The following is a 22,568-nucleotide window of genomic DNA, read 5'->3' as shown; positions in this document are numbered from 1 at the left end:
AACCCTTTCACATTTCAGTAGCTCCAACACCATAACAATTCACATTCCATAAAGAACTCCGCAATTGTGTAAGAACTAACATTTTCATCTCTTAACCTTTAATACTTCAAATAGTTTAATTTCTGGCTCACACCTGTAATCCCAACACTCTGGGAGGCCAGGGCTGGAGAATCAGTTGAGCCCAGGAGACCAGCCTGGGCAACCTAGACCTCATCTCTACTAAAATTTTTTTTTAAAGAATAGCTGAGCATGTTGGTGCATGCCTGTGGTCCCAGCTACTCAGGAGGCTGAGGCAGGAGGATTTCTTGAGCCCGGGAGGTTGAGGAGGCAGTGAGCCATGTTTGTGCCACTACATTCCAGCCTGGGAAAGGAGACCCTGCCTCAAAAAAATAAATAAATGTATTAACTTATGCTCTCATCAATTAATTTAAGCAGTGAGGAATGATCAGAAATGGTAGTGGAGTAAGACCAGAAGGAGCCCCTATCTCCAGTTCAGTGATTTTTATACTCAAAGTTCTCACCCAGGAAGTTTTCTTCTTGATGCAGACTGTGACATCTGAAATTTAAAACACGCATTAGAAGCTCCAGGCTGTTCCCACCACCCCTTTGCTGCAAATAGTATCCATTTAGTCCTCGCTCATATCTTACCTCAATAGATTGGAAATAGAGGAAAAATACTTTAATCCCACTTATGATCTAAGAGACAAAATAAAATGTTCTATGAAGAAAGAAGGGGGGTGATTTATTAACAAGTGACTCTGTGTAGTAGCTATGCAAAGTGTTAAAAGACTAGGAAAAGTCATTCCTATTTCTGGTGAAAGAAGATAAGGAGAAATAGATATTTGCCAAGGCTGATGTTTCCCCAAATCCTTGCCAGCAAATCATGGATCCCAGTATCGCTCCTCTAACTTTAAATGTGTATTTCTTTACTTCTGTGTGAACAGACAGGGGGATAGATTTAAGGTGAACAGCTGGAAATATGGGAAGAGAAGATATTCCAAAAGGAAGGTACCTGAATGGACAAAGGCATCGTTACCTCCAACAGTACTGATGCCATCATCTACCCTTTTGTGGATTTTACTATGTTTCAGACAATACAGTTTTATTTATTCTGCACAGAAAACCTAAAAAATAAGCACTTCTCTAATCATTTTGTAAGTGAAAATCCAAATTTTCAAAGAAGAATCTTGATTTACTTCATTAGGGAAATGCAAATCAAAGCCACAATGAGAAGTCACTTCCTACCTACTAGGATGGCTATAATAAAAAAGATGAAGAAAAAAATAAGTCTTGGCAAGAATGTGGAGAAATTGTCATCTTCGTGCATTGCTGGTAGGAATGTAAATGGTGCAGCTGCTGTGGTAAACAGTTTGGCGGTTCCTCAAAAAGCTAAGTATAGAATTATGCTATGATCCAGCAATTTCACTCTTAGGTATGTATCTAAAATAATTGAAAACAGGTCAGAAAGATACTTCTACACTGAAGGTCATTGCAGCATTATTCACAACAGCCTAAAGGTGGCAACAACCCATGTCCATCAACAGATGAATGGATGTGCAAAATGTGGTATACACATAAAACAGAAATTATTCAGAGAAATGTTGACACATGCTGCAACATGAATGAACCTTAAAAATATCACGCTAAGTGAAATAACCCAGATGTAAAGGACAAATATTGTGTGATTCCACTTATATAAAATAAGGAAAATTCATAGAAACTGAAAGTAGATTAGAGTTTATCAGGGTTTGGGAGTGGGGAGAAAGAATGGAGTGTTATTCCTTGATTTGTGCAGAGTTTCTGTCTGGGATGATGCAAACATTTTAGAAATCAAATTTTGTACAACATTGTGAATGTAATTAATGATTTGTGTACTAAAATGGTTAAAATGGCAATTTTTATATGTATGAAACAAATAATTGAAAAAATAATTAATATATGATACTACAATTAAAAAAAATAAAAAGACATTGAGTTACTTGCCAAAATCACAAATGAGTAAGTAACAGAGGTGACAGGTAAAGCCATATGTGCCTAAAAGCACTCTCTTAAATGTCAGATCATTCTTCCTTTTTACACTCCCAAGATGGGAAATCACAGATTGCAATGGAGGCACACACATTCATTCCAATATTTTGTGCACGAAACATCCCTTTAATCTTACTCTTGCCTTTTTCCTACAGCATCTAGCAACTTGAAACAAACCATTTTCAGTTACATTAGATCCTGTAGTTTAAGAACCTTAACCTTGCTATTCTGTCACCCCAACTATTGAGATTAGCAAGGTTTGGAGACTTTTTTTTATTCATGTCATAGCCTTACATGAACAAATACATTGTATCACACTATGAACTTTCTATTTTCAATGTTTATATCAGTCTTGATTTTGTGGGAGGAGATTTCAATGCTGTGGTCTATGCCTGAGCTAAATGCTGTGGTTTATGCCAGAGTTACACAAATAATGCCATTGGAACATTTGCAATTCTTTGAATTTGAGGGGGGATAATATACAAAATTAATAGGCTTTTCTATATGGTTCTCACTAATTTAGAATTTAGTATAAATATAATAGTAATTGGAAAACACAGTTTCTGTCCTATGTTCACCCACTTATGTGACGGACACATAATCAATTCTGAATAAATAATGGTGATTATTATTATTATTAAACTATCAGAGATGTCTTAGTCACTATACCAATAAACTAAAACAGTTTGATATAATCACCTCTAAGGTCACTTTATACACCTATTTTCTAGAATTCTAATTTTTTATTAGTAAAATTAGGAGAAAATCAATATACAGGTCTATATCTTTCAATCCCCCTCTAGTCCCTCTCTGGGGAAAGCTGCTTCTTTAACTTCTAAAGGTTGCTGCTGTTGTTAACCATAATTTATTGTTTTCCCACACTTGGGCCAGTTTTTCTTTCCTGGTACCTTTATCCCTCAGGTGAAATTGACACTTTCATGGCCTGGTGAGTGGAGTGTGAAATAATTAAATGTTGCAAGCCTATTGCCTTCAGATTGAGTCCAACTCCCAAATAGTGGCATTGATTTTCTCCAACTTATGACAAGACATGGGTCTGACAAGTTACCATCCAAAAGGAAGATTTTCAGAGAATTTCAAGCAGGCAAAAGTTGGGCTTACAATAAAACTTTCCATCTTAGAATGTAGCTCGCAAAAGTCAACACTATAACTCATTTACCTTGAGCCAGACTCATCACTTGTACTAATTAAAAGAAGGATTGTCTAAACTCCAGAAGCCCATGTTTTGGATAGAATTTAATTCAAGTTCCTATGGGGACATGCTGATGGAAATTGAAAAATATTTATTGGTAACTAGTATATCACAAGCTAGTTATAATGCAATTCTTGAAAATCCATCTTTCAAGGAATCTAATTGTTCTGTGTACTCTAGATTTCAGCTTTAACTCACTTGCCAAACTTTGCAGATAATCCTAAGAGGAACTTTATGTATTCTGAATTAGTGAACCCCTGAAACGACAGCATTTAAGTGAAATTGCTTATACTCAGCTTCTCATGTCATTTGGAAGGAACTTCCATTAACATAATATTGTTGCTGCTCTATAACCCCAGGAGAAGAGGAATAACTTATCTGATTAGTGGGTTCTGCAGAAAGAAATGGGCATACACAGCTCAATCTGCAGCCTTGATTATTTATGTATTTGTCTGTTTCAGGTCTTCCTGCCTGTAAGAAGGAGGCACTCTCTGCTTCTGTCATGTGCTAAGCTTCGTCAAACAGATTATCTCTCTAAAGGTAGAGGCCTGTGATTGACCGCTGTACCAATGACTGAGCAGGTGAGCTTCACTTATTCAGGAATGAAATACTAGCAGGTCCACTTGGGCAACAGGCCCAGAGCCATAAAACCCAAGAGATTTAACAGTAGAAAAAATGAATGAATGATTTTTCCCTTTTTACTCCCGTGTGTAACTCTCAACTGGTTCTAAACACAGGTGGGAAAACAGGATCTCATTTATTGGATCAAACATTGCGTTCCTCAGTGGTGTCCAGAACAGAAGGCTAAATTTAGCTCAGTGTGTCTCCATGTGGACTAGGAGAGTCCAAACATCTGTATTTTGTACACAGTAATGTAAAGGTAATGTGGCTGAAGGTTAGGAGATCCAGGTTCAAGTTGTAACTCCATTTCTAAGTTAGGAGGCAGCATGGATTCTGGAGCCAAATTCACTTAGGTTAACATTCAAGATCTGCCAGGGCATAGTTTTACTAACTTTGGGTGTGTTATATGAATTCCCTGCTCCTCTTTTTCCCCTTTGTAAATGGGAGAGAGTAATGCCTACTATCTGTGACTGCAGGAAGGATGATGTGTGTAAAGAACTTGGCACATTGCCACCATATAATACATGCTCAATGCACTGTGCCATTAATCATAGGGCTGTCTGTGGTTCTATTTTGCAGGTGCTGAGAATAAACACATGGTACAAGTGAATTTGTGTTTATATGTAATTACAGGGTTCATTGGGCTTTATGGGGTTTATATCTGCGTTCCAGAAATTGTTGTTTCCTTTCTAAATCTCTAAACTTTTACCATTACTGGAAAACACCAACAGAGGGCATCAGGATTTAATTCTGGGTAAGTTGCTCCTGGAGGCTGAGGTTCTGGTAGTCTGATAGGACTCTAAGCAAAGCTTTTTCCCAACAGGAGTGCTAAAGATTTCACCCTTTCTCTGACACTTCAGTAACCTCAGCCCCTTCCTCCTTGTCTGGTGCTAGAGCGCATGCCTTGGCTTCTCTTTCTAGAGTTTCTCTCTTGGGTATGTACGTTTGTGCCTGGGACACGAGATGATGGCACTTTATGGAAACAACCGTGATTAATGACATCCGAGCTTTCTGTGCTGCGTGCTGAACTGAGGCAAGTGGGTTACCGAGCCTGATCTACTGGAAAGTTTCTGTCTTACCTGATACCAGGGAATCTTCTGGCAGGCACGCAGAATGGGGCAGCCGAAGCAGAGAGGACAATGAGCAGAGAGACCACTCTCTGCACCTAGCACAATCACAACTTCTATAGAAAATGTGGCAAACAGATAAACTGTGTCTCAGTTTACCCTCTTGCTAGAGGTGCAATTACACTTCATTTAAGGAGCCTTCAACATCACCTTAAGGAAAAAGGCTACATTTAGAGCCAAGGGCCATGGTATTAGCTCTGTCCCTTACTGTGTTATTATACAAGAAACAAATTCTCAGAGCCTCATTTTCTTAATCTGTGAAATGGGGAAAATCCAATTACCCCTTTATTTTTTCCTCTGGAATGGTGTTAAGAAACAATGGAGAGGATTTTTTTAAAAAAGTGCAAAATATCAACATAAAGGATAGCCTATTATCACCACCATTGGTCCTTGCAGTAGTTCTGGTCATAGCAGCAGTGCCATTAGAAGTATCTGTTGGGTTGTAACTGCTCTCAGAGATGCTGGGTATGGTAGCTGTTAAGAGCACAGTCTGTGAAGTTAGATAGTCTCGGTTCACATCCTACCTGCCATTCACCTTGCAAGCCACTTACCTATCTATAAAATGTAAATAATAGTAGTAGCATTGACCCTATATTTTATTTAAAAAGACATGACAGATATTGTACATAAAGTACTTAGCGCAGGTCTTGGAATTGAATAATGCTTAATAAATGGTAGTTATTAATGTAATCATAATGATTATTTCTTCCTAATGAGGGGAGGCATTCTTGAAGGATGTTCTTCTAACACCACACATCTGGAGACCAAAAGAAGGACAATTCCCAAGGGCCCCCCTTTCTTTTTCTTGAACGGCCTTAACCCTTAAGATATGTTCCTTCAGTTGTCAACCCCAACATCACTCTATATGGCTAAGTGCAATTGAATGAGATCCTTGTAAATTCTGTCCCCATCTCACATTCTGAGCCTTGTACACAAGATACAGGAGAAACTCTTTTCTCCAGCACATAAAATATGTATACTCTCACCTAGCAATGAAGGGTTGTAAGAGTTCTCATTTAATTCAATCTCCTCATCTGACAGATAGGAAAACTGAGGACCAGAAAGGGAAAGGGATTGATCCAAGGTTCACCTCCAGGGCTCAGTCTCCCATAATGGGAGAACTTGGACAAAATATCAAATTAGTCTACTTTATTTTTTTTTCTTCCTGTTGCACTACACTGACTCTTAGAAGGAATTAAATAGTGAACTCGTAACGGGGCTTGAAGTTTGGAAAGCATGCCCACACCCGTCTGGAACATTCTCTTGTCTCCAAGCTGACCTTCTGAGGCACCGTCTCAACCCCAGGGAATTCTGCCAACATTTTTAGTGAAGTGTTTTGAAAGATAATGCATTGCTGTATCCTTGAGGGAAGAAACACAGAGGAAGAAAAGAAAAGAAAGAAGGAAAGAGGGAGGAGGATAAGCAGGGAAAGGAAACAGGAAGGGGGAAAGTAGGGAAAGAGACAATGAGAAGACAGAGAGGGAGTAGCAACGGAGAGAGAAAGAAAAGATATACTAAGTTCCCCTGTGACAGGCACTGTGCTTGGCACATAACATACATATGTTACTTGATTTAATCTTCATCACAAACTTAAGTGAGAATATTGACATCTCTGATTTAAAAAGAAATTGCTGCTTAGAGAGGCTAAGAAGCTTGTGCTGAGTTTCTCATCTAAGCCTGTCTAACTGTAAAACTTAGAAGACTGAAAATTGTCATCTCAAACGAAGGAACAAATATTTTCAGAGACATAGATGTATCAGTCTCTGACTTCACACTTTGGATTTGGAAAGCTTTCCCATGGCTTCCATTTGAGACACTTGCGCATTTCTTCATTTGTTCAGTCATTTATTCACTCATTCTATCCATCCATTTAACAAATACATGTTACATACTTATCACCATAGAAGATGTGTAAAACTCAGTGCCTTTTATTCCCACCCAATCTCAGTGTGGTGGATTTGTCTATTCTGTGCCTGCAGATATGTGTACACACATGCATGCACATAACAACACAAAGTACCTGCATTGAAATTGAGATATGCAAATACATCGCGGACTACACACCCACACTGGCCAGCTCTCTGCATTTGGTCTCTTCAAAAGAGAGATCCAGGGAGTAGTAGCTGGAGACGCCCTGGGTCCAGGCCTTGAGCCCGTGTCCCGGAAAATCATCCATGTCCTTGCCTGTGGGTCCCTGGACTGTGAGATGGATCAATTCTCTCAGATGCTCCACTCTAAAGGGCCTCTGATGGCAGGTCAGGCAGTGGGGTCTGTTTAGGTCTTTGTAAGCTGATCTGGCAAGAGGGGAAACTCAGAGGAAAAAAAAAGTTCATATCACAGCAAGGGAGTTCATCTACATAGTCGTGTATGGGGTGCTCAGCTTGTTGTCCAGGGAGAGGTTTTCTCTAACGGAGTACAGAGAAGAGAATGGTGAGCAACAACAACCATAAAAATGACCAAAACTGTTAATCCTACTAGATTATAATTATTGTATTTGTCTGCTCCAACCTCCTGCTTAATAACAGCAAACATTTACTTTGTCAGGAACTGTGTGACTTTACACTTACATCTCACAAGAGTGCTTCGAAATAAGCTCTGTTTTGTTTTTAATATGAAAAAAACTGGAGTTTGAGAAGGTTCAGTTACTTTCTCTAAACCACATGGCAGAGTCAAGGTTTTAACCACTTTCTTATGCTGCTTGCACCCTCCCCTCCTATATTCTGTTTTCCCATCTATATAATGTGGCCATCATTCTATTGGGTTAGATCACAGATTCTTCCACCTGGCTGATCATCAGCATCCCTCTAGATGCTGTTAGAAACTGCCAATATCTGTGCCTTGGGGTCTTAAGCGAGTCTCACAATGTGTGTTTTTCACAATGCCCTAGATAATTGTGAGGACCAGCATGTTTGGATGTCCCATTTAAGAGGATCTCAAAGGACAGAACCAGGTCCAAGATTCCATACTTCTATTATCTTTTTACCTGCTAGCTTGAAAGTAAGAGAAGAGGAACTAGGGCCCCATTGTGGAACAGCTGAAATTGAGCCTGAAGCCATTCTCCACTCTGCCCCCATGGGCCTGCCCATAAATCTCGGCTTTTTAGGAGGGGAGCCAACGCCAATCGGAGGCATTTCCCCTCAGAGCATCTAGTGTCTGGATATATCTGCTAAGCAGAGCAGCAAGACTGTACAGGCCTTGCTGGCTCTTGATGGCAGCAGCTTGTCCAGAGTCACAGGATATTAATTACCAGCAGGCTCTCTGTGCAAAAATTATTTCTCCTGCACACTGGTATTTGGCCCACCTGCAGAGCCAATTACTAATATTCCCTTCCTCCTCCAACACTCACCCCCGTCTACTTGGGCCAGCCTCATCTTCCTAGATAGTTCTCCTAAAGATTAACTGAGAGATCTGGATTCCAGTTTCAGCTCCGCCAGACACTGTGTCACTCTGACAACTTACTTTTCTTTCCTTACTCCTAAATCCTCACTTGCCTTCTTGAGCTTCAAAAAGGGTAAGAAAACTGGAGCTCGGATATCCAGCTGGGATATGGCATTAAGTCATTATAAACTAGTGTTTAAGGGCAGAGGCCCTGGAATCAAGCAGACTTTGAGTTCATACCTCCCCTTTGCCATTTACTGACTATGCAACTTTAAGCTAGTCACTTTACTTCTCTGAGTCTTACTTTCACCATCTGAAAAGTAAAGATAATCATGGTGCCAATGGTACAGATTTGGGGGAGAATTTAATGAATGATATGAAAAGAGTGTTTGACATACAGCAAATGGCAACTATTATTGTTACCAGTATTGGTTAGTATTATAAGACAGGCATATAAACAGATAACTATATTCTAACACTATAAGTGCTTGGGCAGAAACAACAGGGTCTCGGGGTTCCAGTAAATGATTCAAGTCAAGTTCAGGTCAGGAAATGTTTCCTGGTGGGGATCTTGGACCCAAGCTGATGTGAAGGATGAGTAGTGGCTTTCCAGGTAGAAGTCGAGGAGAATTTCTCAGGCAGCATGGATTCTCTGTGCCAATGGCTTGGGGCCCATCACTGCTTCCAGCCTCACCTGCTTTCCTTCTATTCCTGGGGTGTGTCCAGACCTTCCACCTCAAGGCCTTTGTACATCTGCTTCCTTTCTACCTGCCTCCTCCACTCATCCCTGGGAAAGTGTTTGTTCATTCTTCCTCCCACCTGCTGATACTGTACTCCTGAGACCTGTTTTCTATGTTCAGCTCCTGTCGCTGGTTTCCCTAGCCTCTGTCCAAGGATTTGCCCTCACCTTTTAAAACAGACAGAAGTCTCTGATATTTAAGCCTTGCAATGAGCGTTTCTACCTTCTTTAGGTACAAGCCTCTCTGTTTTATATCTGGCTGTTCTGTGTAGCTGTCCACTCCTGATTCTAACTGGCTCTCCTAGGACACTCTGGTGCCCACAGACATGTGCTCTGCATTTGGCTCGTTCTGAATAGAAGTGTAGTTGAAAAGTATCCTCTTGAATGAGACAATAGTAAAAGGCATATGGAAAAATATTTGCACATTTATTTAATCAGTGGATACTTATTTCACCAGGCATTGCAGAATGAACTGGGGTATAATTATGAAGAATGTATACTTGGTCCTAAACCACAGGAAATTGATGTGCAAGTAAGAAGGCAATCAGATGGAATAAATCACAATGTGGAATGAAAAAGGAAAGCTCAGGAGGCTGTTGGGGCACAGAGGAGGGGGTACTGCCTCATTCAGAGTTCTTAGCTGAAAATAACCCTTTAAGGTAATTTAAGGAGAAAAATGAATTGATGAAAGGATTGGACTGAAAGTGATTAACATCCAAGTTTTTACACCATACAACCCCCAAACCACAGTGTGGGGACATGCCAGCAAATCCCACCCTGCTGCCCCCTGACCGAAAACAGCAGCACATAGCCCCTGCCGTGGATGCCAAATACCAGAACTTCCACTTTCTCTGACCTGAACACTAGGTGCACTTGCTGTCAGCTTGGCTAGGAAAAATACTTTGTGCATGTCCCCTTTCTCATGTCACTGGCTTTCTAATAAGGCCTGACCCAAGAATGCTCAGCTGATGAGGCTGAGACTGCACCAATCAAGTTGAGAATGAGGCAGGATAGTGTCCAACCAGAGAAATTGTGTGTTCAAAAGCTGCTACTGCACAGCTCAAAAAGCATGGCAAGTGTCCAGTACAGATCTCTAATGGAAAATTTAGGGGAACAGAGAGTGAAAGGGAACACAAAAAACTTCTCAGATGTATTGATATCTCATCTGAGCTTCAAAACAAGAGAAGAAGTTAACCAGGTAAAGACAGGTCTGAGAAAATATTCAAGGCAGATGGAATGGCAGACGCATAAGCTTGGATATGGGACTATAAAAGCACTGCCTCTGGGAAATGGTGATAGTTCAGTATGGCAAGAACATAGACTTGGAAGGAGGAATGATGAGAATTGAGACTGGAACAATGAACAGGTCCAAAGCCCCCAAACCTTAAATTCCTTGGGCTGAGAAACAGAAACATGAACAAGGCAATGTCCTCCAGAGACATCAAAGAATAGTCACATGATCCAAGACCATTCCTGTTAAGTGTCTCTGATGTTTCATTTCTTCTTTTATTGAAGGCACATCATTGCAGCTACTTAAAAACTCCCTGTAAGTAGAAATCTTTCCCTATTATGGAGTATTTCTCCCATAAAATCATACAGGCGTAGGCTGTTTATGGAAGCATGAAACATTCCTTGCAGAAGAAATAATTTTGTATTCATGATGGAAACATCTTCAGGCTCCATTTGGAAATTAACACTAAAGCTGTGTTCCTCCACCTTTCTGGTCTGCAGGGCTCACCTCCCACCTCTCCACCTGTGCAAGGCGCAGCTCGTACCCCACACCTCCTGCATAAAGACTTCCTCTGCTGCTCCCATCCTCACCCACCTTTTCCTAATCTGACTTCCTCTGACCTCATTTTCTCAGATGCATGAGATACCCTCTTGCAATGAAAAGCAAAGGGAGCTCTTGCCACTTTTCACCTGTAAAGATTCTTTTTTTGTGAGATCTGTCTGGAGCAGGAGGCTGGCACATAAAATGTGTACTTAGCATTATTCTTTTATGGAAGCTAAAGGCTCCTTACCAGGGCTCCTCTGCACACAGAGGGCTCAGTCTCAGTACCAAATTAATGTGTAAGCCAATGCAGGGCCCCTCGAGGATGTGTCCTCTCTATGAGATAGGGTCACATCAATAAGCAATGCAGGGATGTGCCTGTATCTCCTAGAACCTGCCGCTTCAGCTATTCATCATAGCAAGTCATGGTGTTCAGACTAAAAAGAACATTGTTCTAAACCTGCATGAATCTCCTCTGATCTTGAGCTTGTTAGTAGCAGAAAGGAATGAACACAAGTCTAGAGAAGACAGTTTTCTTAATTGTGTTCTTATTTGGTACCAGGGAGAGAGCATTACTTCTTTAAATCACCATAGCACTGTGTGCAAGCCACTTTCTCTGAGTGATTCTTCAGCTTTAAAATGGAGTGATGGCAAAGAACGTATGTTATTTCCTCCACGAAACACTACTTCTTAAGAGCTCAAGTCCAGAACCCTTCATTCTTCCAGGTAAATACCTAAACATTTGGAAAGGTGATTATCAAATGACCCTGGAAAGTGCTTATGGGTCAGAGGTCTTTGTGGGTGTAACTCAGATTGGTGTAAATCATAAAGTTTGGAACTTCTTAGAGACTGAGCAGTTCAGAGTTAGTGTCAAGTCCCCTGTGAAGAGGCACTGAGAAGCCACTGGGACCCAAAGCTACATTCACATTTGTTTTCTCTCCTGTCTGTGCCTCTGCTCCTTCTTCCACAGTCACAGGTATTCATAGCCCTCTGCTTTTCCAAATCATGATGGCTGACACAGCCCCCAACTCTTCATTGCTTTTTCAGAAGCAGTGCCCAGCAGTAGCTGACTCCGTCTTCCATTTACTCAAACCCAAACTCCTGAAAGGGGAATCTACTGGGCCTAGTCTATTGTGTCTGGGTCCAGCTGCCTGTTCCAGTCAGCTGTGGTCAGGCTGAAGAGCTCGCTGGGCACATGGCACATAGCTCAGCTGTGCTCATGCATTAGGGGTTATGTAAATGTAGCTGCTCTAAGGTGGGATATAGGCAGAATAGGATTTTAAAGCTGTATTGATAATCTTTTGCTGCATAACAAATTGCCTGTAAATTTAGTGGCTTGAAACAACAGTAGACATTTATTATCTCACCGTTTATATGGGTCAGGAATTTGGTAGCAGCTTAGCTGAGTGGTTGTAGCTCAGAATCTCTCATGCAGTTGAAGGCAAGATATCAGATGGGGCTATCATCATTTGAAGACTAGACTGGGGCTGGAAGGTCCACTTCCAAGGTAGTTCACTCACATTTCTAAAAGTTGATGCTAGCTGTTACCAGGCGTCCTTGGCTCTCCCCATATGGGTCTCTTCATGGGCTGCTTTCATGTCTTCATGACATGGCAGCTGGCTTTTTTCTAAACAAGGAATACAAGAGAAACTAGAGTGAGAGCCACAATGTCTTTTATGACCTAGCCTCAGAGGTCAAACGCCATCATTTCTGTAATATCCTATTGGTTACACAGATCATCCATATTCATGGTGGGAGGGGACTATACAATGGCATGAATACCAGGAGGTGAAAATCATTGGGGGCCACCTGGAAGCTGAGTACCACAAGAGCCAGCACTAATACAGGTTTCTAGACACAAAAAAGCAACATTTTCATTGAGTAGATCCTGCCAGTATTTTTCCCTTGGATGATCAAGATGTTCTCTTTTAGATTCAACCTGAATCTCTCTTGTTTTAAATGCAGAATTAAAACCAACTTTGTGTGCCTTAGAGTGTGAGATGCAGTACAGCTGGTTAACTACATATTCATGATTTGTAGGACACCATTTACCCAAGAGATCTGTTCTAATTTCCCTGGAAATGTGTTGAAGGAGCCCCTATAGAGAGCAGGAGCAGTGTGAATCTCCAAGGAGTGGGTATCCACATGTATTAATTGATGACAGTGATTGATAGGTTGTCGAATGGAGGAAATATTCTTTAAGAAGGTAGGGAAGGAACAAAAGAACTCATGGCTTCTATATGGATAATCTGAACATTCAAAGCTTTGACATCTACAACATTGGCCACTTTTTCATAATCCAAACTTGGCAAGCAAAACTAGGAGCCAAGTAGAAAATAATAAAAGAAAATTATATGTGTTCAGTACCAAGAAGCAATGATTCTAGGAAAAAGTTAAATTCCAAATACTGAGCTGTTAAAATAATGTGTGCTTCAGACTCCTTAGGAATGTGGGAAAAAAAATTATGGCAAGACCAGAAGTCTGGAGATCTGTCTCCTAATCTTCAAATCAGGTGTACTTTTATTGGATTCTTTAATGTAGGGTGGACCATGACTAAAAGCTGTATTTTGAATTTTGATTTAGTTGTATAAAGAGCCATTGACTAAGAGCTCTGTCACTTGCTAGCAGTGAAAAATTGGGTAAGAAACATTCCCTCTCTAGGTGACCTCTGTTTCCTCATCTGTTAAAAAAAAAAAATGGTAAATGTACTTACCTTGTCTGCTCCTCAATGTTGTTGCAAGTATCAAATCCTGGAAAGCACTTATAGATTTGTCAAAAGCCCAGGGAAGTTCCTTACTGGCTCAATAAGGTTGAGAGACCCTTGCGATGCTTGTACTTTGAAACACAGCAGCACCTACATGTGAGCTGCAGAGGGGCTATTCCAAACACCAGACACACAAATCAATATGGCTATCCTCCCCAAGGGCCTCAGTGGTAGCTATCATTATCATCATCATTTTTCTTTTTGGGCTCTCTGGACATATGAGGAGCAAATCTTGGACTAATCTCTCTTTGGATCCTAGAGTACAGGAAATAAAGCTCAGAACCTGAGGGTATGTGTTTTTCCCCCTGTAAAATGGAGACTTGGAAGATGCAACTTTGTTAACAGAAAGAAAAAAAAAGCAGGCACCAATGATAGTAGAAAGAAATAAGGAGGAAGGATAGGGCCTTCCTGATGCTGTTCCTATTTCTAGCATCCTTTGTTTCTGAGGTCTAGCTGCACTCCCTGCCCTGAGTTTCTCAAGAACTATCCCCCCAATCTCATAAAAAATTTCCCCTTTCATATAAGTATGTGTCTGATTTGTGTTATTTGGAATCAGAATAGCTCTAAATAATGTCATTCCTATCAAAAGAATTAATTTTTAAAATGTACAATTTCCATAGAATTGGTATTGGCTTTCTCACAAGAGAATATTTATTATTGAGACATAGGAGCACTCTTAATCATATTAATGATAATCATATTAATGATGAAGAATGTGGACTCAGAATCCAGAATACCTGGGCTCAAGTCCTCGTGCAAATCCCTTAGCCTTGGTGTGACTTACTCTTTTTTATTTAGCAAATGCTCATAATAATAATAACAACAATAAAACCTACCTTCGAGGACTGCTGTGGGTGTTAAATGAGTTATTACACAATCAAGGTCACTTATCATTGTTTCATCCTATGGGGAAAAAAAATCACAGAATTCTTAGCCCTAGCTCCATTCTGAACTTTTTAAAAGCCAGTTTATTAAACACGTGTAGGGGAGGTGCAATGTAGAATACCTTTTGAGTGCTGAAAAGAGTTCTCTGTAATAATGGGATGACTTCAAAGTAATCAAAATTTTATGTTGAAATCGGCTACTGTTGCCATGTGGAAGGCGGCTGAGACCCCCAAGCTTCAGATGGGAAGCTCCAAGTGAAAATTTACGTCCATGCTCAAAAATCCTGGAAACAGGGATGGATAATTGAGATTCTGGCTGAAGCAGAGTGAACAAAGACACTCTAATTAAATTCTGCATAGGAGCTAATTAACCCATTTATGTGTTTTCTTCCTTTGTGCAATAGTGGAAGCACATTATCAGCATTCATATATTTGCAAGTTATCTGTATGGGTGTGTGATTTTTTTTTCCCCCTTGAGTAATACAGGAGGAGGTAGATGCCCTCCATGGGATCTCCCAGCCATAATTCATCTGTCTGAGGCTTCTGCTTAGTTTCAACATTAGCTCTGGGAAGCTCATACATGCTTTGCTCTTCACACAGACATAAAAGTCAGCCTGGATGGCTACCACCACTAATCAGATTTGTCTGCTGATGCAAGGCCCTTCAGTCATTCCAGAACTGGTAAATGGAGTCACCCTGAGGACAGGCCCTGCTGCTGATTGATGTCCAGTGTGGGCAGCTCTCTTGGCTGCTCAACATTCAGAGAGGCTCTCCTTGTTTCAGTGCTAAATGATTGACAGTCAGGGTGAGTATTTCAGGAGGAAGAGTCCCCCGCCCACTCCAGCCATGTGGCAAAGGTATTTGCTTCCTTGGGAAGGAAGTGATTTATCTGTGGGAGAACACTGTTTGGGCAAAGTTGCGTAGGAACAGCGTCTGTCTCTGCAAGCATGTGTGTATGTGAGTGTGGGCATAAAGCAGCAAGAGTGGAAGGTAAAGACAACGTGAACGTCATAAAAGAACACTTCTTTTTACAAATGCTTGAAAACATTCGATGCTGAAAGACTTCAGACCACATAAATGAATTTGCACCTAATTCAACATAGCTATACTTCTTTCTTTTTCAGAATTAATGAGCCTGCCTTATCATTAGTTTTATCATAGAAACTATCACAGAGAAGAAACCATCTTAGAGAGAAATCGGTGGAAGACAAGATGAAAAAGGAAAAATAAAAAAGACTGGAGGCAGGGGAACATGGAGAATGCAAGTGTGTTTGCATTTGCACCAAGTTTGAGTTGAAAGGCTTTATAAGGATTTTGAGCAGCTGTATAAGTAGTTAGAGCTAGATATGTGTATATGTGTTGCCATTAACCAAGTTACTTCAACATTAGCCTTATGATTATATGCCCTAGCATTCAGATTCAAGGAAGAAACAGTTTCTCTGGAGAATTTTGTTCCTTAGTGACTGATTTCAGTTGATTTCAAGGTAAGCCAGGTATGTAACTAACTTTTTAAATTTAGATGAATATAAGTTTATGTTATTAATGATTATTTGTTTATTCATAAAATTGACACTGACATGTTACTAAAATACAAGAATCTCAATTTTATATTGAAGAAATTAATTCATTAGGTCAAACACATAAAAATTCTGAAGTGAAAATGATTCATGTGTCAAGTGGTCATAATGTAAGACCCCAGTAAATATTCCACAGTAGGTTGAGCTAATGGCAGTTGCTTCTCAGTACACATTCAAACATATTTTCTCACAATCTAGAGAGTTCATCTACACTGGGCAGAAAGGGCTAGATTGATTAGCAACCAAAGGCCTGAGCTCCATCGCTGGTTGCATAACAATAGCTGTGTGACCTTTGATAAGGTGCTTAGCCTCTCTATGCCACTGCTTTCTCACCTGTCATGTAAGTGTAACAATGTCTTTCTCACCTGTCTCATATTATTGCTATGCAGAAGAAATGAGATTTCATTCTGGAAGTTCTTTAAGCCCCTGAACAAAATGCAAGTTTTTATGGATCCACACACACATACACTATTCATGATCATGAATACATAATGTACTCTGTTTTGAATATGCTGTAGGTGTTTTGTGCTTTGAATGCTTGTGCCTGGAGATCCCAGCCCATAACAGCACACAATAGGTGTCCCCTGTGGGGGTAACCCACAGAGTATAACTCCCAGAGTATAACCCAGGTGATATTCTGCCACACCTGTGCTCTGACAGATGGTGGTGTGGAGAGAGAAATTTGCCACATCAACACATGCCAAGGTAAGGAGAACAGAGCCACGTAATAGCAACACCAAAGCCTGTCTGTCCATTAAGCCAAGTCAAATGCCACTTTCTTCACATAGCTTTCTGGGGCTTCTTTCTCCTCCTGAAGGAATTAATTTCTTCTGAATCTGTGTACTTGTTTCACTCTGTCGATGTGGCCTTGAACTTTCCGTACCCATGCCAACCCCAACAGCATTCAGCTGGCACCCAATAAATAGGATTCCAGCTCTCTTAGAGTCTGCAGCCTCAGTTCTGAAATTCTGGCCTGACCCTGAGTCATTCCTCAGATTAGATTTCACCCTATTTGTATTCTCCTGCCTTGCAACTTCCAGCCAAGTCAATACATAGTTACCAAGCACTTGCTATTTGCTAGGAGTGTGCTAAATTATGGGGTACGGTAATGGACAATAATTCATGTCTTTTGCTCTCTTGAAGATTAGAACCTAATGAGGCTATAAACAATTAAACAATTTCAATCTTCAAACTAAGGAATTTATAGGGAAATTTTCAAAAAGGGTCCAGTATGAGATATATGAGATCTATGGGCTGAGAAGGTGTTAATTAGGTGAAAGTCTGTTTAGAAAGGCAGAATGTTCCAAGTAATACATCTAGGCAACAAAGGAGAACCTGTTACATTTAAGAAATGGAAAGACACTCGGTTTGGACAAAGCTAAGTACTAAGCAAAAGCCAACTTCTTTACCTATTTCTCTACTTCCAGCTTCACCTTATATTTGGTACCTTCATACTTAATGTTGGGCTCTGTAACTCCCTCCTGTACAGCCTCTTAATCACCTCCCCAGTTTGGTCAACACCAAGATCCCAGTTCCTTTTGATCCCCAAACGGACTAATTTCCTCTTGCCTTATAAATGGAAACTGATCTGTCTCAATGTTTTTTTTTTTAACATGTAATTTGCATCACAATGATCCAATTTGAGGGCACATATTATTTTTCTTATCAGACTGCCAAGGAACAGATGATCTTTGTATTTCCTCCCAAGTACCTAGAATAGTGCCTAACAATACATTTGTATTTTCCTATAACAAATTTCTATCATGTCACTTTCTGGTTTAAAATCCTTCAGTGACTCTGCAGTACATTTTAGGACAAAACCCTATTCCAAAATACAGGCCACAAGTCCCTCATGTTCCAGCCCCATTAGCCTGCCAGCCTCACCAAAGGCAGAAGCCCTTTGCCCTCCTCACTTCCCCTTCCACTTACAGGAAGCACTCAACTTCTCAAGGCTTCTTGCTCCTTCCTGCCTTTGAGCTCCCTCACATGCCATTCTTTCTGCTTGCCCCACCCAGCCCCACCCAGCCAGACTCAGCCCTTCACTGTGGCTCATCTTGGAGGTCTCAGGTTACATATCACTTCACAGGAAGGCTTTCCCCAATACTCACTTAGTTGCTACTGCTACAATATGGCACTTATTATGCTTTACTGAAATTACTTGTTGAAATGTTTATCTCTCCTGCTGAGGGTATCTCAGCCTTGGTATGATTGACATTTTGGACCAAATCATTCTTTGTGGCGGGGGCTGTCTTGTACATGGTAGGTTGTTTAGCAGCATCCCTGGCCTCTACCCGCTAGATGCCAGTAGCACCTTCCCCAGTTATGACAGCCAAGAATGTCTGCAGACGTTGCTAAATGTCTCCTGGGGGGGCAGTCACATCCATTTGAGAGTGACTGTGCCAGATCATTGAGAAGGTAAGGACTGTGTCTTGAATAAGTAGTGAATACCACTGTATCACAACCTGGCATTTAGTGGAAGGCTACTGATCATGTGTTGCATGAATGAATAGAAGTTTTTACTATAAGCTCCTACTGAATGAATGAATATTAGTAAGAAAACTGTGTCAGAAACACTGGTAGTTCAGAACCCTGCATTTTTATTTAATGAAGGGTGGAACCTGCAAGAACATGGTGGTCTCTTACTTTGGAACCTGTCTCCTCCTTGCCTGTTAATCGGTCCTGGTCCTCTATTCCCCCCACCCCCAAACATACCTCTTTGGGCTGCCCTGTCCACCCATCTCCCCTCTACCAAGCAGAAAAAAAAGGTTCCAGCTCCCTGAGCTTTCTTCTTCAAAGACATTTAAGCTTTTAATGCGAATCCTGATTAATTAACAAGGGCACGGGACTTACATGCATTTCAAGTTGCTTTTATCTCGTGAAGAAAAGAAGCCTTTTGGCAGATACTTTCTGTTCAATGTCTAGTTCAGTATTTCAAAGGGCAAGCTGTGATGGGCTGAGCGGGTTACCATTTGTGTGTGTGTGAAGGGCAATGACTAGTAATTAAGGGACAGACCCCTTTATGTCAACTTAAGAAAAAAAATTAATCTCAGCTTCATTTCAAGCTGGGTTTGGTGTTGAAGGGCAGAAGCAAAATAGAAAGGGGGTACACTGTATGGTAATGGCTGGATCTCTTTGGCTTTGAATGAAAAAGCTAATATTTGTTGAGAACCTACTGTATACTATATCAGATCCCCCCAGAACCCTGTGGAAGAGTCAATATAATTTAATTTTACAAAAACAAAGTTTGGGAGGCATCAAGTTATTTGTCCAAAATACAACAAATAGTCCAGCCATATTCAGAATATGGTAGATCTGAATACATTCTTTCATCCAAAACTTCCGGCTTAGTCAATTGTCTGCTGCTATAATAGATACCACAGACTGGGAAATTTATGAAGAAAAGAAATTTATTTGGCTTATGGTTCTGGAGGATGGACAGTCCAAGGTCATGACACTTGGATCTGTTCGGCCATCTGGTGAAGACCTTGTTGCATTCTCCCATGGTGGAAAGAAGAAAGCAAGTGAGTACAAGAGATAGAGAAAGATAAGGGCAGAACTTACTCTCTTATCAGGAGTCCGCTTCTATAACCCATTCTAAAAATAAAGCATTAATCCATTCATGAGGGTAGAGCCCTCATAACCTATCACCTCTAAAGATCCCACTTCTTAATACTGTCACAATGGCAATTAAATTTTAACGTGAGTGTTGTAGGGAACATTCAAACAACAGCAACTACAACAACAACAGACGTCAGCTCCTGTGTGTCTTCCCTTGCTCATCTATGCCTACCAGAATAGAATGAAAGAAGGGTTTATTTGATCCTGTGTTCAAGTCATTCATTTATTCCACTAGGCAATCTGTCAAGATCTCATAGATTAAGGGCTCCTACAGCAACCTGTACTCACCCTATTTTACCCTTTATCATACATTTTTGGTAAGTAATCTTTTTATTGTTCAACTTCCCAAATAAAATATAAACTTTTAACAAACAGGGACCTTGGCTTTCTTGTTGAATTCTGTATCCTTAGTGTTTCACATGGGGACTGACACAAAGTAGGTTTCAAGAAATAGTTGTTGAAGTAAATATTTCCTTAGGACCTACTCTGCTGAGATTACTAGTTGCCTTGTATCATAGTAGGTCATACTTATCCCTTCTTTTTAAGTAACATAATTCTCATTTTAACCTGGAAGGCCATACTAAGTGGCCAAAAGACAACCCAGCTCCTGTGTCATTAAGAATAACTGTGTAAATCTGATTCATGAGATGTAAACAGAAATGTTGTGTTTCACTTCCATGAAGTCTTTTACTCCATCCTCCTCCTTAGATCATGCATGTGATGGCTGGAACTCAGTCATTTTGGACCATGAAGACCAGACCCACACGCTGGGGCCTAAGAAGCAGAAGTATGAAAGCCACCTGGATCCCTGAAGACCATGGAATTGTTAGAACAATTCTACTCTATCTGTAGACTTGTTTTATTTGAAAGATAAGTAGATTTCTGTCTTATTCAATTCACTGATTTTGGTTCTTTGTTATTTGCAATCAAATCTAATTCCAGTAGATACAACTCCTAAGTGCAGAGCACTGTTCTAGGGATTGTGGGGCATGCTGACATGGGTCTCATGCCTGCATAGCACTCATAGCCTGCAGAAGAACAGCAGTGCTGCCATATCTGATGGTCATTTGACACACTGAACTCCAGCCATATCAATTTTCTTTTCAGTCCCCAAATGGCAGTCACCACAAAAGAAGAAAAGATAAAGCTCTTAGTGGGATCTGAATCAAGAGATACCACTTACAGTGGAAGGAAAAAAGATCATTTTCATGGAGGAACTGCCCTTGAATTTCGCCTTGAATATTGATGAGTATTGGAATCTGCAGAGACTGGGATAAGGTTGGGATGAGGTCGAACACTACAGGAACAGAAAATATGGAACATGTTTGGGAGCAGGCCAGGGATTCTGTCATATAAAGTGCATGAAAAAGCATATCATGTAATATTTATGATTATTGCTCTGGAGTTAGACTGTTTGGGTTTGAATCCCAGATCCAGTGTTTACTATCTATGTGACCTCGGCTGAGTCATGAACTTCCATGAGCTCCATTCTTCTCACCTTTAAAATGAAGATCACAACTCCTACCTTCTTGGCTTGTTACCAGAATTAAATGAGTTTTTATGTGTGGAGGGCTCATGAGAGTGGCTGTCCCAAATAAGCATTCTCTAAATGTTAGATATGACTGTCATCCCCTTAAAACTGCAAGAGTTAGTTGAAACCATAGCAAGCCGAGCCATGAATGCCATGTTAATGCATGTTAATGCCATTATTATAAAGGTACCAAAAAGCTGCTGACAGTTTGTGAGCAAAGTTGTGGATGACATTATCAGAGCTGTATTTTAGGAAGTCTTAATATGTCAACATATGTCATACTATTATGTTTTCTCTCCCCCGCACTCCATTAGCCCACTGACCTAGGTGCCTCTTCCTCCCGGAACACACCAGCATTCAGCAATTCCCCAAGGTCCCTCCCCTGTCTCCAAAGCTGTCTGCCTGATCACTGACTTAGGCAAAGCTTCCTACTTTTCAGAGACCTGTGAAAGGGAGCCAACCCCCTGGCTCACAGCCCCTAGCCCTAGTTGTTCCCATGGACTTGCTGAAGGATGTGATTCTTTTGCCACTCTTCCACTCCTCCCCCAATTCCTGCAACCCCCTCAGGAGTGGTGTTCTCAATGGTGACATTGTGACTCCAAGCCATGAAATATAGGCCAGTTATTGCATCATAGATGGATTATATGAGCCTTTTATTTTCTTCTTGGTGACAACGGGAACCATGCCGCCTTCACAAGAGCTGGCAGAGACAGTTGACTATATTGTATGCTATTAACTGAATTATGCCTCCTCAAAATTTGTATGTTGAAGCTTATTGACTGTATTTGGAGATAGGGCTTTTAGAAGGTAAAAGTCAATAAGGTCATGAGAATGGGACCCTAATCTGATGGGGCTGGTGACCTTATAAGTAGAAGATATCTTTCTCTTATCTCTCTTTCTCTCATTTTCTCTCTCTTGTTCACTCTCTCTTCACTTCCCTCCTTTTCTCTCTCCCCCCTCTCCCTTTCTCTCCCCCCCTTTTTGAGCACATGTGCCAAGGAAAGGCTATGTGAAGACACAAAGTGCCACCTACAAACCAGGGAGAGAGCCCTCACTAGACACTAACCCAGATGGCACCTTGATCTTGGACCTCGAGCCTCCAGGACTGTGAGAGAATAAAATTCTGTTGTTTAAACCACCCAGCTTGTGGGATTTTGTTATGACAACCTGAACAGACTAATCCATTGTATATACATTTACAGTTGGTTATACTGACTGTTGTTGTACAAATGTAACTTCTGCACTTAGAAGTCAATTGAAGACCACTTCCAGCAGCAAACTGCACCGTCTATTGATAACTTAGCAATAGCCTCCTAATCT

The 22,568-nt window shown here is 40.7% G+C and overlaps 2 long non-coding RNA genes across 8 annotated transcripts in view; one reads left to right on the top strand and one right to left on the bottom strand.

The window, feature by feature from the left end:
* Window positions 1-22,386, top strand: part of LOC105376242 (uncharacterized) — a 35,678-nt gene extending 13,292 nt beyond the window's left edge. For 2 of the 7 annotated variants that reach the window (XR_930281.3, XR_930282.3), the window contains 2 exons: window positions 3,700-3,819; window positions 15,123-22,386. This is a non-coding gene — a long non-coding RNA (uncharacterized LOC105376242). Of the gene's footprint in view, window positions 1-3,699; window positions 3,820-11,436; window positions 11,601-15,122 lie in introns of all 7 variants that reach the window. The other 5 variants (XR_001746912.2, XR_001746911.2, XR_001746914.2 and 2 more) reach the window with 5 other exon arrangements.
* Window positions 12,463-14,798, bottom strand: LOC124902330 (uncharacterized). Its single transcript, XR_007061904.1, has 3 exons — window positions 14,645-14,798; window positions 14,475-14,541; window positions 12,463-12,501 (listed from the first exon to the last, which is right to left on the bottom strand). It is a non-coding gene; the product is annotated as an uncharacterized LOC124902330 (long non-coding RNA).
* Window positions 22,387-22,568: the final 182 nt, after the last annotated feature.

Source organism: Homo sapiens, chromosome 9 (genome assembly GCF_000001405.40).
Source record: "Homo sapiens chromosome 9, GRCh38.p14 Primary Assembly".
NCBI classification, from domain to species: Eukaryota; Metazoa; Chordata; class Mammalia; order Primates; family Hominidae; genus Homo; species Homo sapiens.
This window is presented reverse-complemented; position numbering and strand designations above follow the sequence as displayed.